We start from the raw sequence: 19,027 nt of genomic DNA on the forward strand, positions 1-19,027 counted from the left end.
GCCTCCCCAGCCACGTGGAACTGTGAGTTCATGAAACTTCTTTTTCCTTATAAATTACCCAGTCTTGGGTATGTCTTTATCAACAGCATGAAAATGGACTAATACAAACACCATGGCACACTTTTACCTATGTAACAAACCTGCACATTCTGTACATGTACCCTGGAACTTAAAAGTTGAAGGGGAAAGAAAAGGACTCCCCACTAGAGAACATCAGAATCTGTATTTGAAGCCAGGCTCCTCTAATTTCAGAGTGCCCACTAATTATTGCTGGATATTTTCTCTTTGTTCCATCAGCCCTTTGAAAATAATTCTCTAGTAGGACAAAATATGTAGTTTCAAAGTAATTATTCTGTTTTCTTAATGTCTCTTCCAAGAAATTGTGAGCTCTTTAAGGGCAAGGCCAATGTTCAATGTTGATTTAATAAATTAATTATGACTTGTTACTGAAGTCCTCAAAATGATTCAGGGTTTAGGAACTGGGTCTACAAGTTAGCATTAACTGAAGTAGAGACTGGGAATGAGTTGGGGGTGGGAGGCGGGATTTGTAAGTGGGCAGATAAGCTTCAGGGAGCCAAGAAAACAAGGGAAATAAGGCTATCATCTGCAGGCTGTTTCCAAGCCAAATTGTGCAGGAATCAATCTTATCTTTGAATTTTTGTCTATATTTCATTTCTGTGCTCCCATCTTACTGTTCTCTTCTCAAGTGGGCTGAGATCTTTAAAAGGAAAACATTATTAATGGGAACAAAAAAAATTTAAAATGTTCAATAATCATACCTACAAAAAGTTGTTAAGAAATATACAATATAAAAAGATAAAGGCAATAAATTACAAATTGTAAGGGGGAGTGTAAAAGTCTAGAATATTTGTTTGCAACCAATGTAAAGTTATCAGCTTAAAATAGTCTTTCATAACTATAAGGTTTTGTTTTTTGAAATCCCCAAGGTACCAACAAAGAAAAAAAAAATAGAGCAGAGACACAAATTAGAAAGGGAAGGGAATCAAAGCTTATCATTACAGAAAACCACCAAGCCACAAAGATAAACAAGAGAGGAAAAAATCAACAAGAGATCTACAAAATAACCAGAAAACAATTAGCAGAATGGTGGGAATAAATCCTTACCTATGAAAAATAACTTTGAATATTTTTGATTAAGTTATTCAATTAAAAAATAAGATCCAACTATGTGGGAATAAATCCTTACCTATGAAAAATAACTGAATATTTTTGATTAAGTTATTCAATTAAAAAATAAGATCCAACTATGTGCTGCAAACAAGACATTCACTCTATCTGTAACGACATACACAGACTGAAAATAAAAAGATGGAAAATGATGTCCCATATAAATGGAAATTAAAAAAAGCAGGAGTAGCTATACCTATGTCAGATAAATATAGGCATTAAGTAAAAAAACTGTAAAAAGAATCAAAGATGGTCATTATATAATGATAAAGGAGTCATTTTAGCAAGAGGATATAATAATTGTAAATACATATGCACTCAAAACCAGAGCACCTAAATATAGAAATCAAATAATATTCTATCTAAAAGGAGTGATAGACTGCAACATAAGAATTGTAGGGGACTTAGCATTCCACTTTCAGCAATGGACAGATCATCCAGACAGATCCATCAAAGAAACATGAGATTTAAAATGCACTCTAGATCAAATGAATCTGAGATTTGCAGAACATTTCCACTCAACAGCTGCAGAATACACATCCTTTTCATCAGCACATGGAACTTTCTCCAGGACAGATCATATTTTAGCTCACAAAACAAGTCTCAACAAATTTTTAAAAATCGAAATTATATCAAGTATTTTTTTTTTACCGCAATGAAATAAAACTAGAAAACAATAACAGGAGGAACTCTGGAAACTATACAAAGACATAGAAATTAAACAACATGCTCCTAAACAACAAATGGGTCAATAAATAATTTTAAATAAATTTTAAATATTCTTGAGATAAATGAAAATGGGAATGCAACATACCAAAATCAATGAGATACAGGAAAAGCAATTCTAAAAGTGAAGTTTATAGCAATAAAAACTTACATTAAAAAATTAGAAAGGTCCTAAATAACCTAATATTGTACCTCAAGAAATTAGATAAACATGAACAGGCCAGGCACAATGGTTTATGCCTGTAATCCCAGTGCTGCAGGAGGCCAAGGCAGAAGGATCACTTGAAGCCAGAAGTTTCAAACCAGCTTAGGCAAAAGGTGAGACCATGTCTCTACAAAAAGAAAAAAAAAAAAAAATTAACCAGGTGTGGGGGTATGTACCTGTGGTATTAGCTACTCAGCTAAGGTAGGAGACTGAGGTAGGAGGATCACTTGAACCCAGGAGTTTGAGGCTGCAGTGAGCTATTATTGCCACACTGCACTCCAGCCTGTGTGACAGAGCAGAACTGTGTTTGTTTCAAAACCAAAAAAAAAAAAAAGTAGAATGAAATAATAAAGATCAGAACAGAAATACAAATATAGACATAAAAAATGCAAAGATCAGCCAAACAAGGGTTGGTTTTTCTAAAATATAAACAAAATTGACAAATCTTTAAGCCAGACTAAGCAAAAACAGACAAAATTTAAATACATAAAATCAGAGATGAAAAAGGAGACATTACAACTGATACAACAGAAATATTTAAAATAACAGACTATTATAAATAACAATAGGCCAACAAATCAAAAAACCTAGAAAAATGGTTAAATTCCTGGACACATACAATCTTACAAATTGAATTATAAGAAATAGAAAATCTGAACAGACCAATACTGAGTAATGAGATTAAATCAATAATAAAATGTCTCCCAAAAAAGAAAAGCCTAGGACTGGAAGGAGTCACTGATGAATTCTACCAAACATTTAAAGAACTAATAACAATCATTCTAAAACTCCCCAAAATTAAAGAGGGAGCTCTTCCAAATTCATTCTATAAGGCTCTACAACAAAAAAATAGAAAACTATAGGCTAATGGTCCTGATGAACATAGATGCAAAAATCAACAAAATACTTGCAAGCTGAATTTAACAGCTCATTTAAAAAATTATTTGGGGAGGGGAGGTCAAGATAGCAGACTAGAAGCAGCTCATGTGTACAGCTCTCACGGAGAGAAAATAAAAGGGCTAGTAGTCATTGACCGTATAGGCCAATCATTTGAGAAACCATATCAGGATCCATCGAGGCAGCAGAAGGACACAGAGAACAGAGAGGAGCAAAGCTGGCACTGGCCTGTTTGGGCTCAGCATGGAGCCAGGAGAACATCTCCAAAAGCAAAAGGGAGGGTGAGTGAGTGAATGAATGAGAGCCCATTTGGGGGATTCACACTCTCCACAGGAACCTATGCACACCAGGAACAGAAAAATGCCCCTGGCCTCACTGCATACCCTCACCACACTTCTAGATTGAGGCAGAGAGCCACGCAGACATTTTCCAAGGGCAACTCTTGAATCCAAGGGGACCTCTACAAGCCTTGGGCCCTGAAGTAGACCAGCACAGATACCATAGCCCCAATAGAGGCCACAGTTGCAGTGCCTGGGAGCAATAAGATTGCTCCACACCCCCTCACCAGGCGGTGCTCAGTACCAGGTTCTGGCTCAGCAGTCCCACTTCTGTGTAAACTCAGCCAGAAGGTGCAGCCTCTTGTCCCAGGAAACACCTAGATAGCAAAGTGGGTGATCCCACCCTCACCCACCACTGGTAGCCAGGCAGTCAACACCTGCTAGAGCTTCTGGCCCAGTGGTCCTGCTTCTGTGTGAACTCAGCCAGAGGGTGCAACCTCTTGTTGTCCTGGGAAGAACCCAGATGGAAGGGTGAGTGGCCCAACCCCTTCCCATCACTGGTAGCCGGCAGGAAATGCCTGCTAGGGTTTCCAGCCCAGCAGTCTTGTTTCTCTGGGGCCTCAGCTTATGTATATAGCCTCCTGTTTTCCCAGTAAGCATCTAGATTGCAGGGCAGGCTACCTCACTCCCCCAACCCTGCATTGGTAGGGAGGCAACTCCTATTTAAGCTTCCAGCCCAGCAGTCCCACTTCTGCCTGAACTCAGCCAGCAGGAGCAGCCTACTGTTGTCCTGGGAAATACCCAGCAGGGCAGTAACCCCACTGTATTGGTCTGTTCTCACAGTGCAATGAAGAAATACCCAAGACTGGGTAATTTATAAAGGAAAGAGGTTTAATTGACTCACAGTTTTGCATTGCTGGGGAGGCCTCAGGAAATTTACAATCATAGCAGAAGGCAAAGGAGAAGCAGGCACCTACTTTACAGGGTGGCGGAATGAAGTCAGTGCAAGCAGGGGAAATGCCAGACACTTATAAAACCATCAGATCTCATGAGACTCATTCACTATCATAGGAACAGCACTGGGGAAACCACCTGCATGATCCAATTACCTCCACATGGTCACACCCTTGACATGTGGGGTTTATGGTGTAGCAGGACGAGCCGCAGACAAAACTCCTGAGACACCAAGTTAAGGAAGGGGTTTATTCGGCCGGGAGCATCGGCAAGCCTCCTGTCTTAAGAGCCGAGCTCCCTGAGTGAGCAATTCCTGTCCCTTTTAAGGACCCACATCTCTAAGGGGGTCCACATGAGAGGGTTGTGATCGATTAAGCAAGCAGGGGGTAAGTGACTGGGGGCTGCATGCACCGGTAATCAGAACAAAACAGAACAGGACAGGGATTTTCACAGTGCTTTTCCATACAATGTCTGGAATCTATAGATAACATAACCAGTTAGGTCAGGGGTCGATCTTTAACTACCAGGCCCAGGGTGCGGCCCCGGGCTGTCTGCCTCTGGATTTCATTTCTGCCTTTTAGTTTTTACTTCTTCTTTCTTTGCAGGCAGAAATTGGGCATAAGACAATATAACGGGTGGTCTCCTCCCTTAATGGGGATTACAATTCAAGGTGAGATTTGGCTGCGGACACAGAGCCAAACCATATCATTCTGTCCCAGCCTCTCTTAACTCTCATATCTTTTCACATTTCAAAACCAATCATGCCTTCCCCAAAGTCCCCCAAAGTCTTAACCATTTCAGCATTAATAAAAAGTCCACAGTCCAAAGTCTCATCTGAGACAAGGCAAGTCCATTCAGCCTATGAGCCTGTGAAATCAAAAGCAAGTTAGTTACTTCATAGATACAATGGGGGTACAGGCATTGGGTAAATAAAGCTGTTCAAATGGGAGAAATTGGCCAAAACCAAGGGGCTGCAGGCCCCATACAAGTCCAAAACCCAATAGGGCAGTCATTAAATCTTTAAGTTCCAAAATGATTTACTTTGACTCCATGTTTCAAATCCAGATCACGCTCATGCAGGAAGGGTGTTCCCATGGCCTTGGGCAGCTCTGCCCCTGTGGCTTTGCAGGGTACAGCCCCCCTCCTGGCTGCTTTCATGAGCTGGTGTTGAGTGTCTGTGGCTTTTCCAGGCACACAGTGAAAGCTGTTGGTGGATCTAACATTCTGGGATCTGGAGGATCTACTAGGCAGTGCCCCAGTGGAGACTTGATGTGGAGGCTCTGACCCACATTTCCCTTCCACACTGCCCTAGCAGAGGTTCTCCATGATGGCTCTGCCCCTGCAGCAAACTTTTGCCTGGACAACCAGGCATTTCCATACACCCTCTGAAATCTAGGTGGAGGTTCCCAACCTCAATTCTTGACTTCTGTGTACTGCAGGCCCAACACCATGTGTAAGCTGACAAGGCTTGAGGCTTGAACCCTCCGAAGCAACAGCATGAGCTGTACCTTGGCCCTTTTTAGCCATTACTGGGGGGGCTGGGACACAGGGTGCCAAGTCCTTAGGCTGCACACATCAGGGGAGCACTGGGCCAGACCCAGAAAACCATTTTTTCCCTCTTAGGCCTCAGGGTCTATGATGGGAGGGGCTGCCACAAGGTCTCTGACATGCCCTGGAGACATTTTCCCCATTGTCTTGGTGATTACATTTGGCTCCTCATTATTTATGCAAATTTCTTCAGCTGGCTTGAATTTCTCCCCCAAAATGGGTTTTTCTTTTCTACTGCTTCATCAGGCTGCAAATTTTACGAACTTTTATGCTCTGTCAGCTCTTGAATGCTTTGCTGCTTATGAATTTCTTAGAAATGTCTCCCAGATACCTTATATCAACTCGTTCAAGTTCAAAGTTCCACAGATCTCTAGGGTAGTGGCTGTCACGCGCATCCCTGTGAAGAGACCACCAAACAGGCTTTGTGTGAGCAACAAGGCTCTTTATTTCACCTGGGTGCAGGTGGGCTGAGTCCAAAAAGATAGCAAAGAGTGGTGGGATTATCATTAGTTGTTATAGGTTTTGGGATAGGTGGTGGAGTTAGGAGCAATGTTTTGTGGGCGGGGGGTGGATCTCACAAAGTACATTATCAGGTGGGGAGAATTTCAAAGAATCTTCTTAAGGGTGGGGGAGATTACAAAGAACTTTCTTAAGGGTGGGGGAGATTACAAAGAACCTTCTTAAGGGTGAGGGAGATTACAAAGTACATTGATCAGTTAGGGTGGGGCAGAAACAAATCACAGTGGTGGAATGTCATCAGCTAAAGCTATTTTCACTTCTTTTGTGGATCTTCAGTTGCTTCAGGCCATCTGGATGTATACCTGCAGGCTTGGGCTCAGAGACCTGACAGTGGCAAAATGCCATCAGTCTGTTTGCTAAAGCACAGTAAGAGTCACCTTTGCTCCAGTTCCCAGTAACTTTCTCATGCGCATCTAAAACTGCCTCAGCCTGGACTTCATTGTCCATACCACTATCAGCATTTTGGTCAAAACCATTCAATAAGTCTCTAGGAAGTTCCAAATTTTCCTGGATCTTCCTGTCTTCTTCTGAGCCCTCCAAACTGTTCCAACCTCTGCCTGTTACCCAGTTCCAAAGTCATTTCTACATTTTCAGGTATCTTTATATCGGCACCTTACTACTTTGGTATCAATTTACTGTATTAGTAGATTTGCACCCTGCTATGAAAAAATACCTGAGACTAGGTAATTTATAAAGGAAAGAGGTTTAATTGACTCACATTTCCACATTGCTGGGGAGGCTTCAGGAAACTTACAATCATTGTGGAAGGCAAAGGAGAAGTGGATGCTTCTTTACACGGTTGCGGGAAGGAGTGAGTGCAAGCAGGAGAAATACCAGACACTGATAAACCGTCAGATCTCATGAGACTCACTCACTGTCATGAGAACAGCATCAGGGAAATCGCCTCCATGATCCAATTACCTCCACCTGGTCCCACGCTTGATACATGGGGATTATGGGAATTACAACTTGAGGTGAGATTTTGGTGGCAACACAAAGCCAAACCATATCACCCCCTCACCCTCATTGCTGGTCACCAGGCAAGAAATGGCAGCTGGAGCTTCTAGCCCAGTGTTTCTGCTTCTATGTGAACTCAGCCAGTGGGCACAGCCTCCTGTTGTTCTGAGAAACACCCAGATGGCAGAGTGGGTGACTCCACCCACCCCCAGCTGTCACAAGCAGGTGAACAATACTGGCTAGAACTTCCAAACAAGCAGTCCTCCTTCTGTCTAAATTTACTGAGGGGCATAGCCTCTTGTTGCCCAGGAAACACCTGGAAGACAGGATGGGAAACTCCATCAACCCCTGCTTCTCAAATCCAGACAGGCCACACTGGCTAGAACTTCCACCCAGCAGTCCTGCTCCTGCCCGAAGTCTGCAAGCAAGTGCAACCACATGTTGCTATGGAAAGCACACAGACAACAGATTAGGGCAGACCTGGCAAAGATATGGCCTGTCTGCCATCTTCAGCCCCTGTTTGAGGGAGGCCTACGGACCAGAACCCCATGCATAAAAGTAATGTGGGCATAGAAACAGTAATCGGAGGGGCTCCTTCAAGACCCAGGAGCAGACTAGAGTTGAAGCCGGTGGACTCAACCTACCTCACACCACAATCAAACCTCAAAGGACAACAAAGAAGATAAAAGCAAAAACAGCCATCCAAAAAACAGCAGCTTCAAAGATTAAAGGAACGTCAGCCAACACAGATGAGAAAGAACCCACACAAGAATTCTGGCAGCTCAAAAAGCTAGAGTGACTTTTTACTTCCAAACGACTGCACTAGCTTCCTATCGATGATTCTTAACCAGGCTGAAATGGCAGAAATGTCGGAAATAAAATACAGATTATGGATAGAGTGAAGATCATTGACATGCAGAAGAAAGTTTAAACTCAATCCAAGGAATCTAAATAATATAATAAAATGATACAGGAGATAAAAGACAAAGTGGTCATTTTAAGAAAGAACCAAACCAAACTGACAGAGCTGAAAAACTTGCTTCAAGAATTTCATAATACAATTGAAAGTGTTAATAGTAGAATTGACCAAGCTAATGAAAAAAATCTCAGAGGTCAAAGACCAGTTCTGCAGACTGTGACTTTTGTCACAGTCAGACAAAAATAAATAAGAAAAAATAAAGAAGAATGAACAAAATCTCCAAGAAATATGGGATAATGTAAAGAGACCAAATCTATGACTCATTGGTGTCATAGATTGGTGAAAGAGAGGGAGAAAAAGCAAGCAACTTGGAAAACACATTTGAGAATATCATCCATGAAAATTTCTTCAACCACGCCAAAGAGTCCAACATTCAAATCAAGTAAATGCAGAAAATGCCTGTGACATACTATACAAGACAACCACAACCAAGGCAAAAAGTTATCAAATTTTCCAAGGCTGAAATGAAAGAAAAAATGATAAAGGCAGCTAGAAAGAAGGGGCATATCACCTACAAGGGGTATAAGCCCATCAGGCTTACAGCAGACACTGCAGTAGAAACTACAATCCAAGAGAAATTGAGGGCCTATATCCAGCATTCTTAGAGAAAAGAAATCCCAACAGAGAATTTTATATCCAGCCAAATGAAGCTTCAAAAGGGAAGAAGAAATAAGATCCTTTTCAGATGAGCAAATGCTAAGGAAATTCCTTACCACTAGATCTACCTTGAAAGAGATCCTTAAGGGAATGCTAAATATGGACAGGAAAGACCATTATTGGTCACCACAGTAACACACAACTACTTAGACTATTCACACTATGAAACAATCACATGATCAAGTCTACGTAATAACCCGTAAGAAACATGATGACAGAATCAAACCTGCACATATCAATATTAACCTTGAATATAAGAGAGCTAAATGCCCCAAATTAAAAGGGACAGAGTGGCAAGATGAATAAAGAAGCAAGACCCAACTGTATTGAGGGCCTATATCCAGCTATCCACGAGAGAACCATCTCACATGCAATGACATGTGTAAGCTCAAAGGAAAATAATGGAGAAAAATGTACCAAGCAAATGGAAAACAGAAAAAAGCAGGGGTTGCTAATCTAATTTCAGTCAAAGCAGACTTTAAACCAACAACAATCAAAAAAGACAATAAAGGGCATTACATAATGGTAACAGGTTGAGTTCAATGAGACCTAACAGTCCTAAATTTACCTGTACCCTATACAGGAGCACCGAGATTCATAAAGCAAGTTATTAGATCTCTGAAGATACTTAGATAACCACAAAATAATAGTGGGAGACTACAACACCCTCACTGACAGTATTAAACAGATCACTGCAGCAGAAAACTAACAAAGATATTCAGGACATGAATTTGACATTGGACTAAATGGTCCTAACAGATATCTACAGAAATCTCCACCCTACACCAAGAGAATGTACATTCTTCTTATCTGCACATGCCACATACTCTAAAACTGACCACACAATCATTCATAAAAGAATCCTCAACACATTTGAACAAACCAAAATTATACAAAACACATTCTCAGACCACAGCAAAATAAAAATAGAAATCAATACTAAGAAAATTGCTCAAAACCATACTACTGCATGGAAATTAAACCACTTGCTCCTGAATGACTTTTGGGTAAATAATAAAATTAAGGCAAAAATTGAGAATTTATTTGAAGCTGATGGCAACAAAGATACAACATACCAAAATCTCTGGGCCACAGCTAAAGCAGTTTTGGATGGAAGTTTATAGCGCTAATGCCCGCATCACAAAGTTAGAAAGATCTCAAATTAACAACCTAACATCACACCTAACATCACACCTAGAGGAAGTACAGAAACAAGAGCAAACCAACCCCAAAGCTAGCAGAAGAGAAGAAATGACCAAAATCAGAGCTAAACTGGAGGAAATTGAGACATGAAAAACCATACAAAAGATCAGCAAATATACAGGTTGGTTCTTTGAAAGAATATAATAAGATTGATAGACTACTAGCTAAACTAATAAAGAAAAAAAAAGAGAAGATCCAAATAAACAAGTAGAAATGACAAATTGGGACATTACCGTAGACCTCACTGAAATACAAAAACAAAACAAAACAAAACAAAAAAACCCCTTAGAGACTGCTATGAACACCTCTAGCACAAAAACTAGAAAAGCCAGAAGAAATAGATACATTCTTGGAAACATACAACCTCTCAAGATTGAACCAGGAAGAAATCAAATTCCTGAATGACCAATAATGAATTCCAAAACTGAATCAGTAATAAAAAGCCTACTAACCAGAAAAAGCCCGAGACCAGAGAAATTCACAGCCAGATTCTACCAGACATATATAAAGAACAGCTGATACCATTCCTACTGAAACTAGTCCAACAAATGAAGAAGGAGGGACTCCTCCCTAACACACTCCATGAGGCCAGCATCATCCTGAACTAAACCCTGGCAAAACACAATGAAAAAAGAAAACTACAGGCAAATATCCTTGATAAATATCGACACAAAAATCCTCAACAAAACAGTAGCAAACCAAATCGAGCAGCACATCAAAGCCTACCATCATCAGTAGGCTTTAATCCTGAGATGTAAGGTTGGTTCAACATATGCAAATCAACAAATGTGAGTCACCACATGGACAGAACTATAAACAAAAACCACATGATCATCTCAATAGATGCAGAAAAAGCTTTCAATAAAATTCAACATCCATTCATATTAAAAGCCTTCACCAAATTAAGCATCAAAGGAACATACCTAAATCTAGTAAGAGAGATCTGCGGCAAACAGCCAATATCATAGTGCATAAGCAAAAGCTGGAAACATTCCCATTGAGAACCAGAATAAGACAAGAATGCCCACTTTCACCACTCTTAGTGAACATAGTAGTAGAAGTTTTAGCCAGAACAATTAGTTAAGAGAAAAAAATAAAAAACATGCAAATAGAGAGATGGGCAAACTATCTCTATTTGCAGACAATATGATTATATGCCTAGAAAACCCCATAGTCGCTACCTCAGAGCTCCTAGCTCTAATAAACAACATCAGCAAATTTTCAGGATACAGAATCATAGTACAAAAATCAGTAGCATTTCTATACACCAATAAATTTCAAGCTGAGGGCCAAACCAAGAATGCAACCCCACTGGCAATAGCCACATACAAAAAAACCCTAAGAACAAACCTAACCAGGGAGATGAAATATCTCTATGAAGAAAACCACAAACACTGCTGATAGAAATAGAGATGGCATAACAAATGGAGGAACATTTCCTGCTCATGGATTGGAAGAATCAATATCATTAAGATGGCCATACCTCCCAAAGCAATCTGCAGATTCAGTGCTATTCCAATCAAACTACAAACTTCATTTATCACAGAAGTGGAAAAAAACTATTCTAAAATTCATATGGAACAAAAAGGAAGCCTGAATAACCAAAGCAATTGTAAGAAAATGAGCAAAGCTAATGGTATCACATAACCTGACTTCAAACCACTGTAAGGTTACAGTAACCCAAACAGCATGATACTGGAACAAAAACAGACATATAGACAAATGAAACAGAATCGAGAACCCAGAGGTAAAGCCAGATACCTACAGCCATGTGATCTTTAATAAAATTGACACAAATAAGCAATGGGTAAAGGATGGTGCTGAGATAGCTGGCTGGCCATATGCGGAAGAATGAAACTGGGCTCTTATCTTTCACCATATACAAAAATTAGCTCAAGATGGATTAAAGATTTAAATGTAAGACCTTAAACTATAAGAATCCTGGAAGAAAACCTAGGAAACACCACTCTGGACATCAGCCTTGGGAAAGAATTTATGACTAAGTTCATAAAAGCAATTACAACAAAAACAAAAATTGACAAGTGGATCTGATTAAACTGAAGAGCTTCTGTACAGCAAAGAAAGCTATCAAAAGAGTAAACAGACAACCTATAAAATGATAGAAAATATTCTCTAACTGTGCATCTGACAAAGGTCTAATATCCAGAATCCATAAGGAACTCAAACAATTGAACAAGTAAAATACAAATAACCCCATTAAAAAGTACACAAAAGACCTTAACAGACACATCTCAAAAGAATACAAACAGCCAATAACAAGAAAAAATGCTCAACATCAGTAATCATCAGAGAAATGCAAATCAAAACCACAATGAGATACCATCTCACACCAGTTAGAATGGCTATTACAAAAAAATGTCAAAAAACAACAGATGATGGTGAGGCTTCAAAGAAAAGGGAATGCTTATACACTGTTGGTGAGAATGTAAATTAGCTTGGCCACTGTGTAAAGCAGTTTGGAGATGTCCCAAAGAACTTAAAACAGCTACCATTTGACCTAGCAATCCCATTACTGGGTATATGTCCAATATAAAATAAGTTGTCCTGCCAAAAAGATATATGCATTTCTATGTTTATCACAGCACTATTCACAATAGTAAAGATATGGAATCAACCTAGGTGCCCATCACTGGTAGACTGAATAAAGAAAATGTAGTAAATATATGCCATGGAGCCATAAAAAATGAAATCACTGCCTTTGCAGCAACATGGATGCAGCTGGAGGTCATTATCCTAAATGTATTAATTCAGTAACAGACAACCAAATGTTGCATGTTCTCACTTGTAAGTGGGAGCTAAAGATTGGGTACTCAACGCCCATAGAGATGGCAACAATAGACACTGGGGACTACAAGAGATGGAAGTGGGGAAATGGGACAAAGGTTGAAAAACTAACTGCTGGGTAGTATGCTCCCTACCTGGGTGATGGGATCATTTGTATCCCAAACCTCCACGTCATGCAATATACTCATGTAACAAACCTGCATATATACCCCCGAACCTACAATAAAAGTAAATTATAAAAAAAAAGAAAATGTGGTATGTAAACAGAGTAGAATACTATTCAATCATAAAACAGAATGAAATCTTGTCATTTGAAGTAACATGGATGCACCTAAAGGACATTATGTTAAGTGACATAAGCCCAGCACAGAAATGCAAATACTGCATAATCTCAGCTATTTGTAAAACCAAACAAAAGGTGATCTCACAGAAGTACAGAGTACAATAGTGGTTACCAGAAGCTGGGGAGGGTAGGAGGAAAGGCCAATGGAGAGAAGTTGGTAAATGGGTAGAAAATTACAGTTAGTTAGGAGGAGTAAGTTATGGTGTTTTATTGCACAGTAAGGTGGTTATAGTTAACAATATCATATATTTCAAAATAACTGAAGAGGGTTTCTGATGTACTTAAAAGAAAATGTCAAATGTTTGAGATGATGGATGTGGTAAATACCCTGTTTATCATTACACAATGTATACATCATTTGAAACATCACACAGTAACCCATAAATATGTACAACTATTATGTATCAAAAATCATATAGAACTTTAAAAGAATACAAAAAGCAACATCCTTAGATACAGAAGGCAGGAGAGGGATGGAGTAAATGGCTGAATAAAAGGTTACACCATTCACTCTCGCCTCCCACCTGGAACACCAAATTTAACTATCTACGCAAAAAAAAGCACCCTCATACAAACCAAAAATTAGTAGAGCAGTCAGAAAATCTGGTTTTAGCTTCATATCACTGAAAGAGCCATTGAAGAGAATAGGAAAGACAGTCTTGAATTGCTGATGCCACCCTTCTCTCATGCCCCAGCAGTGGCCATCTGGCACAGAGAGAAAATCTGTGTTCTTGGGAGAGAGAAGGTGTAGGAATTGTGAGACTTTGCATTGAACTCAGTTATGCCCTGTCACAGTGGAAAGCAAATCCGGGCTGAACTCAGTGGACACCCACCTATGGAGGGAATATTTAGTCCAGGCCTAGTCAGAGGGGAATTGTCCATCCCACTGGACAGAACTTGAGTTCCAGCAAGCATCACCATTGTGAGCAAAAGTGCTCTGGGGCACTAAATACACTTGAAAGGCAGCCTAGGCCACAAGGACTGCAGTTGCTAGGTGTGTCCTAATGCTGAGCTGGGCTCAGAGCCAGTGGATGTGGGGGACATGTGACCTACTGAGACACCAGCTGGGACAGCTAAGGGTGTTGTTGTGCCACCTCTCCCCCATCCCCAGGCTGTGTAGCTTGTAGCTCTAAAAGAGACCTCTTCCTTCTGCTTGAGGAGAGGAGGGGGAAGAGTGAACAGGACTTTGTCTTGCATCTTGCATACCAGCTCAGCCACAGAAGAATAAGTCAGAGTCATGAGACCCCCATTGCAGGCTCTATCTTCTGGATGACATTTCTAGACATAAACAGGGCTAGAATAGAACCCACTGCCTTTCAGGGATAGACCCAGTCCAGGAAGTACCCATCTCCTGCTGACTAAAGGGGCCTTGGTCCTTGAATATCCAGCAGTGATACTCAGGTACTACACTGTGGGCCTTGGGTGAGACTGAGACATGCTGGCTTCAGACGAAACCCAGCACATTCCCAGCTGTGGTGGTTACAGTGAGAAACTGTTTTTGCCTGAGAAAGGCAAAGGGAAAAGTAAAAGGGGACTTTGACTTGCACGTTAGGTTCCAGCTCAGCCACAGGGAAGTAGAGCACCAAGCAGGTGCTTAGAGTTACTGATTCCAAGTGTTGACTCAGTTGGCATTTCTGGATCTGTCCTGGGCCAGACGGAAGTCCACTGTCCAGAAGGGTGAGTCCCAGGCCTGGCAGACTTCACCACAAGCTGCACTTGGGCCATAAGTGAAAATTGGCTGTAGCCTGGCAATAATCCCTATGGGCCTGTGGTGGTGGCCAAAGGGTGAGGCTCCTCTGCGTGTGGAAAGGGGAGGGAAGAGTGGAAAGGGCTGTGGCTCATGGTTTAAGTGCCAGCCAAGCTAAACTTTAATAGAATACCAGGTAGTTTTCCATGGTTTATGACTCCAGTTCCTGGCTCCCAGATGGCATCAGTGGATCCACTTGGAGCCTGGGGAAGCTTGCTGCCTTAAAAAGAAGGACATAAGCCTAGCTGGCTTCACCACCTGCTGATTGTAGAGCACTAGAGCCTTGAGTCAACATAAGCAGTAGTCAGATAGTAGTTACGGTGGGCCTTTGATGAGACCCAGTGCTATCTTGGCTTCAGGTCTAACCTAACTCAGTCCCAGCGGTGGTGGCCACAGTGGGGCTTGTGTCATGGTAAACTCAAATAAAAAATCATACAACAGATACACAAAAAATAAAAAACAAAAAAACCCAAGAAATTAAATCATATAACCAGAGAAAATCACCTTCATTAAAAAATAGGAAGGAAGGAAAGAATGAAGAGAAGACCACATAATAATCAGAAAACAAATTAAAAAATGGCAGGAGTAAGTCCTTACTTATCAATAATAACATTGAATGTTGTCAGAATTAATCTGCACTATGGAACAAACGGACCTAATAGACATTTACAGAACATTTCATCCAAAGCTGCAGAATATGCATTCTTTTCCTCAGCACAGTGATCATTCTTAAGGATAGAACACATGTTAGGTCATAAAACAAGTCTTAAAACATTAAAAAAATGGAAATATCAAGCATTTTCTCTGATCATAATAGAATAAAACTAAAATTATTAACAAGGGGAATTTTGAAAACTATCCATGCATCTGGAAATTAAATAATGTGCTCCTAAGTGACTAGTGGGTCAATGAAGAAATTTAAAAGGAAACTGAAAAATTTCTTGAAACAAATGATAATAGAAACACAACATATCAAAACCTATGGGATACAGCAAAAACAATACTAAGAGGAAAGTTTATAGCCATATACATCAAAAAGAAGAAAAAAATTCAAATAAACAACCTAATGGTGCTTTTTAAGGAATTTAAAAAAGCAAGAGCAAACCAGACCCCAAATTGGTAAAAGAAGATAAATAATAAAAATGACAGCAGAAATGAATGAAATTGAAATAAAGAAAACAATACAAAAGATTAATGAAACAAAAAGTTATTTTTTGAAAATGTAAACAAAATTGACAAACCTTTAGCCAGACTAAGAAAAAAAAAGAGAAGACATGAATAAATAAAATCAGAGATGAAAAAGAAGACATTATAACTGATACCACAGAAATTCAAAGGATCATTAGTGCTGCTGTGAGCAATTATATGCCAATAAATTGGAGAATCCAGAAGAAATGGATAAATTCCTAGACATATACAACCGACTAACATTGAACCATGAAGAAATCCAAATCCTGAACAGACCAATAACAAGTAACGATATTGAAGCTGTAATAAATAGTCTTCCAGCAAAGACAAGCCTGGAACTCGATGACTTCACAGCTGAATTCTACCAAACATTGAAAGAAGAACTACTATCAATCCTACTCCAGCTATTCCAAAAAATAGAGGAGGAGGGACTACTTCCAAACTCATTCTATGAGGCCAAAAGCAGACAAAGACACATCAAAAAAAGAAAACTGCAGGTCAATATCCCTGATGAACATTGATATAAAAATCATCAACAAAATACCAGCAAACTAAATTCAACAACACATTAAAAAGATAATTCATCATGACCAAGGGTAAAATCCCAAGGATGCAAGCATTGTTCAACATATGTAAATCAATCACTGCAATACATTGTATCAACAGAATGAAGGACAGAAACCATATGACTATTTCAACTGATACTGAAAAAATAATTTGGTAGAATTTAACATCCTTTCATGATAAAAAAAAATTTTAAAGTCTTGGTATAGAAGGAATATATCTCAACATAATAAAAGCTGTATATGAAAGACCCATAGCTAGTATCATACTGAATGGGGAAAAACCAAATGCCTTTCCTCTAAGATTTGGACTATGACAAGAATGCCCAATTTTATAATTGTTACTCAACATAGTACTGGAAGTCCTAGCTAGAGCAATTAGGCAAGAGAAAGAAATAAAGGGCATCTAAATTGGAAAGAAAGAAGTCAAATTATCCTTGTTTGCAGATGATATGATCTTATATTTGGGAAAACCTAAAGATGCCACAAAAAAACTATCAAAACTGATAAACAAATTTAGTAAAGTTGCAGGATACAAAATCACATACTAAAATCAGTAGCATTTCTTATAAGCCAACAGCAAACAATCTGAAAAAGAAATCAAGAAAGGAATCTCCTTTACCATAGCTACAAATAAAATTAAATACCTAGGAATTAGCTAAAGAAGCGAAAGATCCCTACAATGAAAACTACAAAACACTGATTGAAAAAATTGAAGAGGACACAAAATATGTAACAGTATTCTGTGGTCATGGGTTTGAAGAATCAATATTGTTAAAATGTCCACTCTACCCAAAGCAATCTACAGATTTAATTAAATCCATATCAAAATACCAATAACATTTTTTTACAGAAATAGAAAAAAAAAATCCTAAAATTTATATGAAACCACAAAAGACCCAGAATAGCCAAGGCTATCCTAAGCAAAAAGAACAAAACTGGAGGAATCATATTACCTGACTTCAGATTATACTACAGATCTATAGTAACCAAAATAGCATGGTACTGTCATAAAAACAGACACCTAGACCATTGGAACAGAATACAGAATGCAGAAATAAGTATGGACATCTACAGTGAACTAATTTTTGACAAAGGTGACAAGAACATACATTGAAGAAAGGACAATCTACAACAAATGGTGCAGGGAAAACTGGATATCCATATGCAGAAGAATGAAACTAGACTTCTATCTCTCACCACATACAAAAATCAAATGAAAATGGATTAAAGATTTGAATCTAAGACCTCAAACCATGAAACTACTACAAGAAAACATTGGGGAAACTTTCCAGGATATTGTATTGGGCAAAGATGTCTTGAGTAATACCTCACAAGCACAGGAAACCAAAGCAAACATGGACAAATGGGATCACATAAAATTAAAAAGCTTTTTACCAGCAAAGGAAACTGTCAAGAAAGGCAACAACCCACAGAATGGGAGAAAATATTTGCAAACTACCCATCTCAGAAAGGATTAATAACCAGAATGTATAAAAAGCTCAAACAACTCTATAAGAAAAAAAAATCTAATAATCCTTTATTTTATTTTATTTTTTTTGAGACAGAGTCTTGCTCTTGTCACCCAGGATGGAGTGCAGTGACGCGATCTCCGCTCACTGCAACCTCCATCTCCCGGGTTCAAGCAGTTCTTCTGCCTCAGCCTCCCAAGTAGTTGGGATTACAGGCACCTGCCATCACAACCAGCTAATTTTTGTATTTTTAGTAGAGATGGGGTTTCACCATGTTGGCCAGGCTGGTTTCAAACTCCTGACCTCCAGTGATCCATCTGCCTCAGCCTCCCAAAGTGCTGAGATTATAGGTGTGAGCCACCATGTCTGGCCTAATCCAATTTTTAAATGGGCAAAAGGTCTGAATAGACATTTCTCAAAAGAAGATATACAAATGGCAAACAGGTATATGAATAGGTGCCCGGTATCATTGATCATCAGATAAATGCAAATCAAAGCTACAATGACATATCATCTCACCCCAGTACAGGCGATAAGAAATGGTGGCAAGGATATGGAGAAAAGGGAACCCTTGTATACTGTTGGTGGAGATGTTCATTAGTACGACCGCTATGGAGAACAGTTTGCAGATTCTTCAAAAAAACTAAAAATGGGCTACCGTGTGATCCAGCAATCTCACTGCTGGGCATATACCCAAAAGAAAGGAAATCAGTATATCTAAGAGATATCTGCACTCCTATGTTTGCTGCAGCATTGTTTATAATAGCCAAGATTTGAAAGCAACCTATGTCATCAACA

This window comes from Homo sapiens, chromosome 15, assembly GCF_000001405.40.
Source record: "Homo sapiens chromosome 15, GRCh38.p14 Primary Assembly".
NCBI classification, from domain to species: domain Eukaryota; kingdom Metazoa; phylum Chordata; class Mammalia; order Primates; family Hominidae; genus Homo; species Homo sapiens.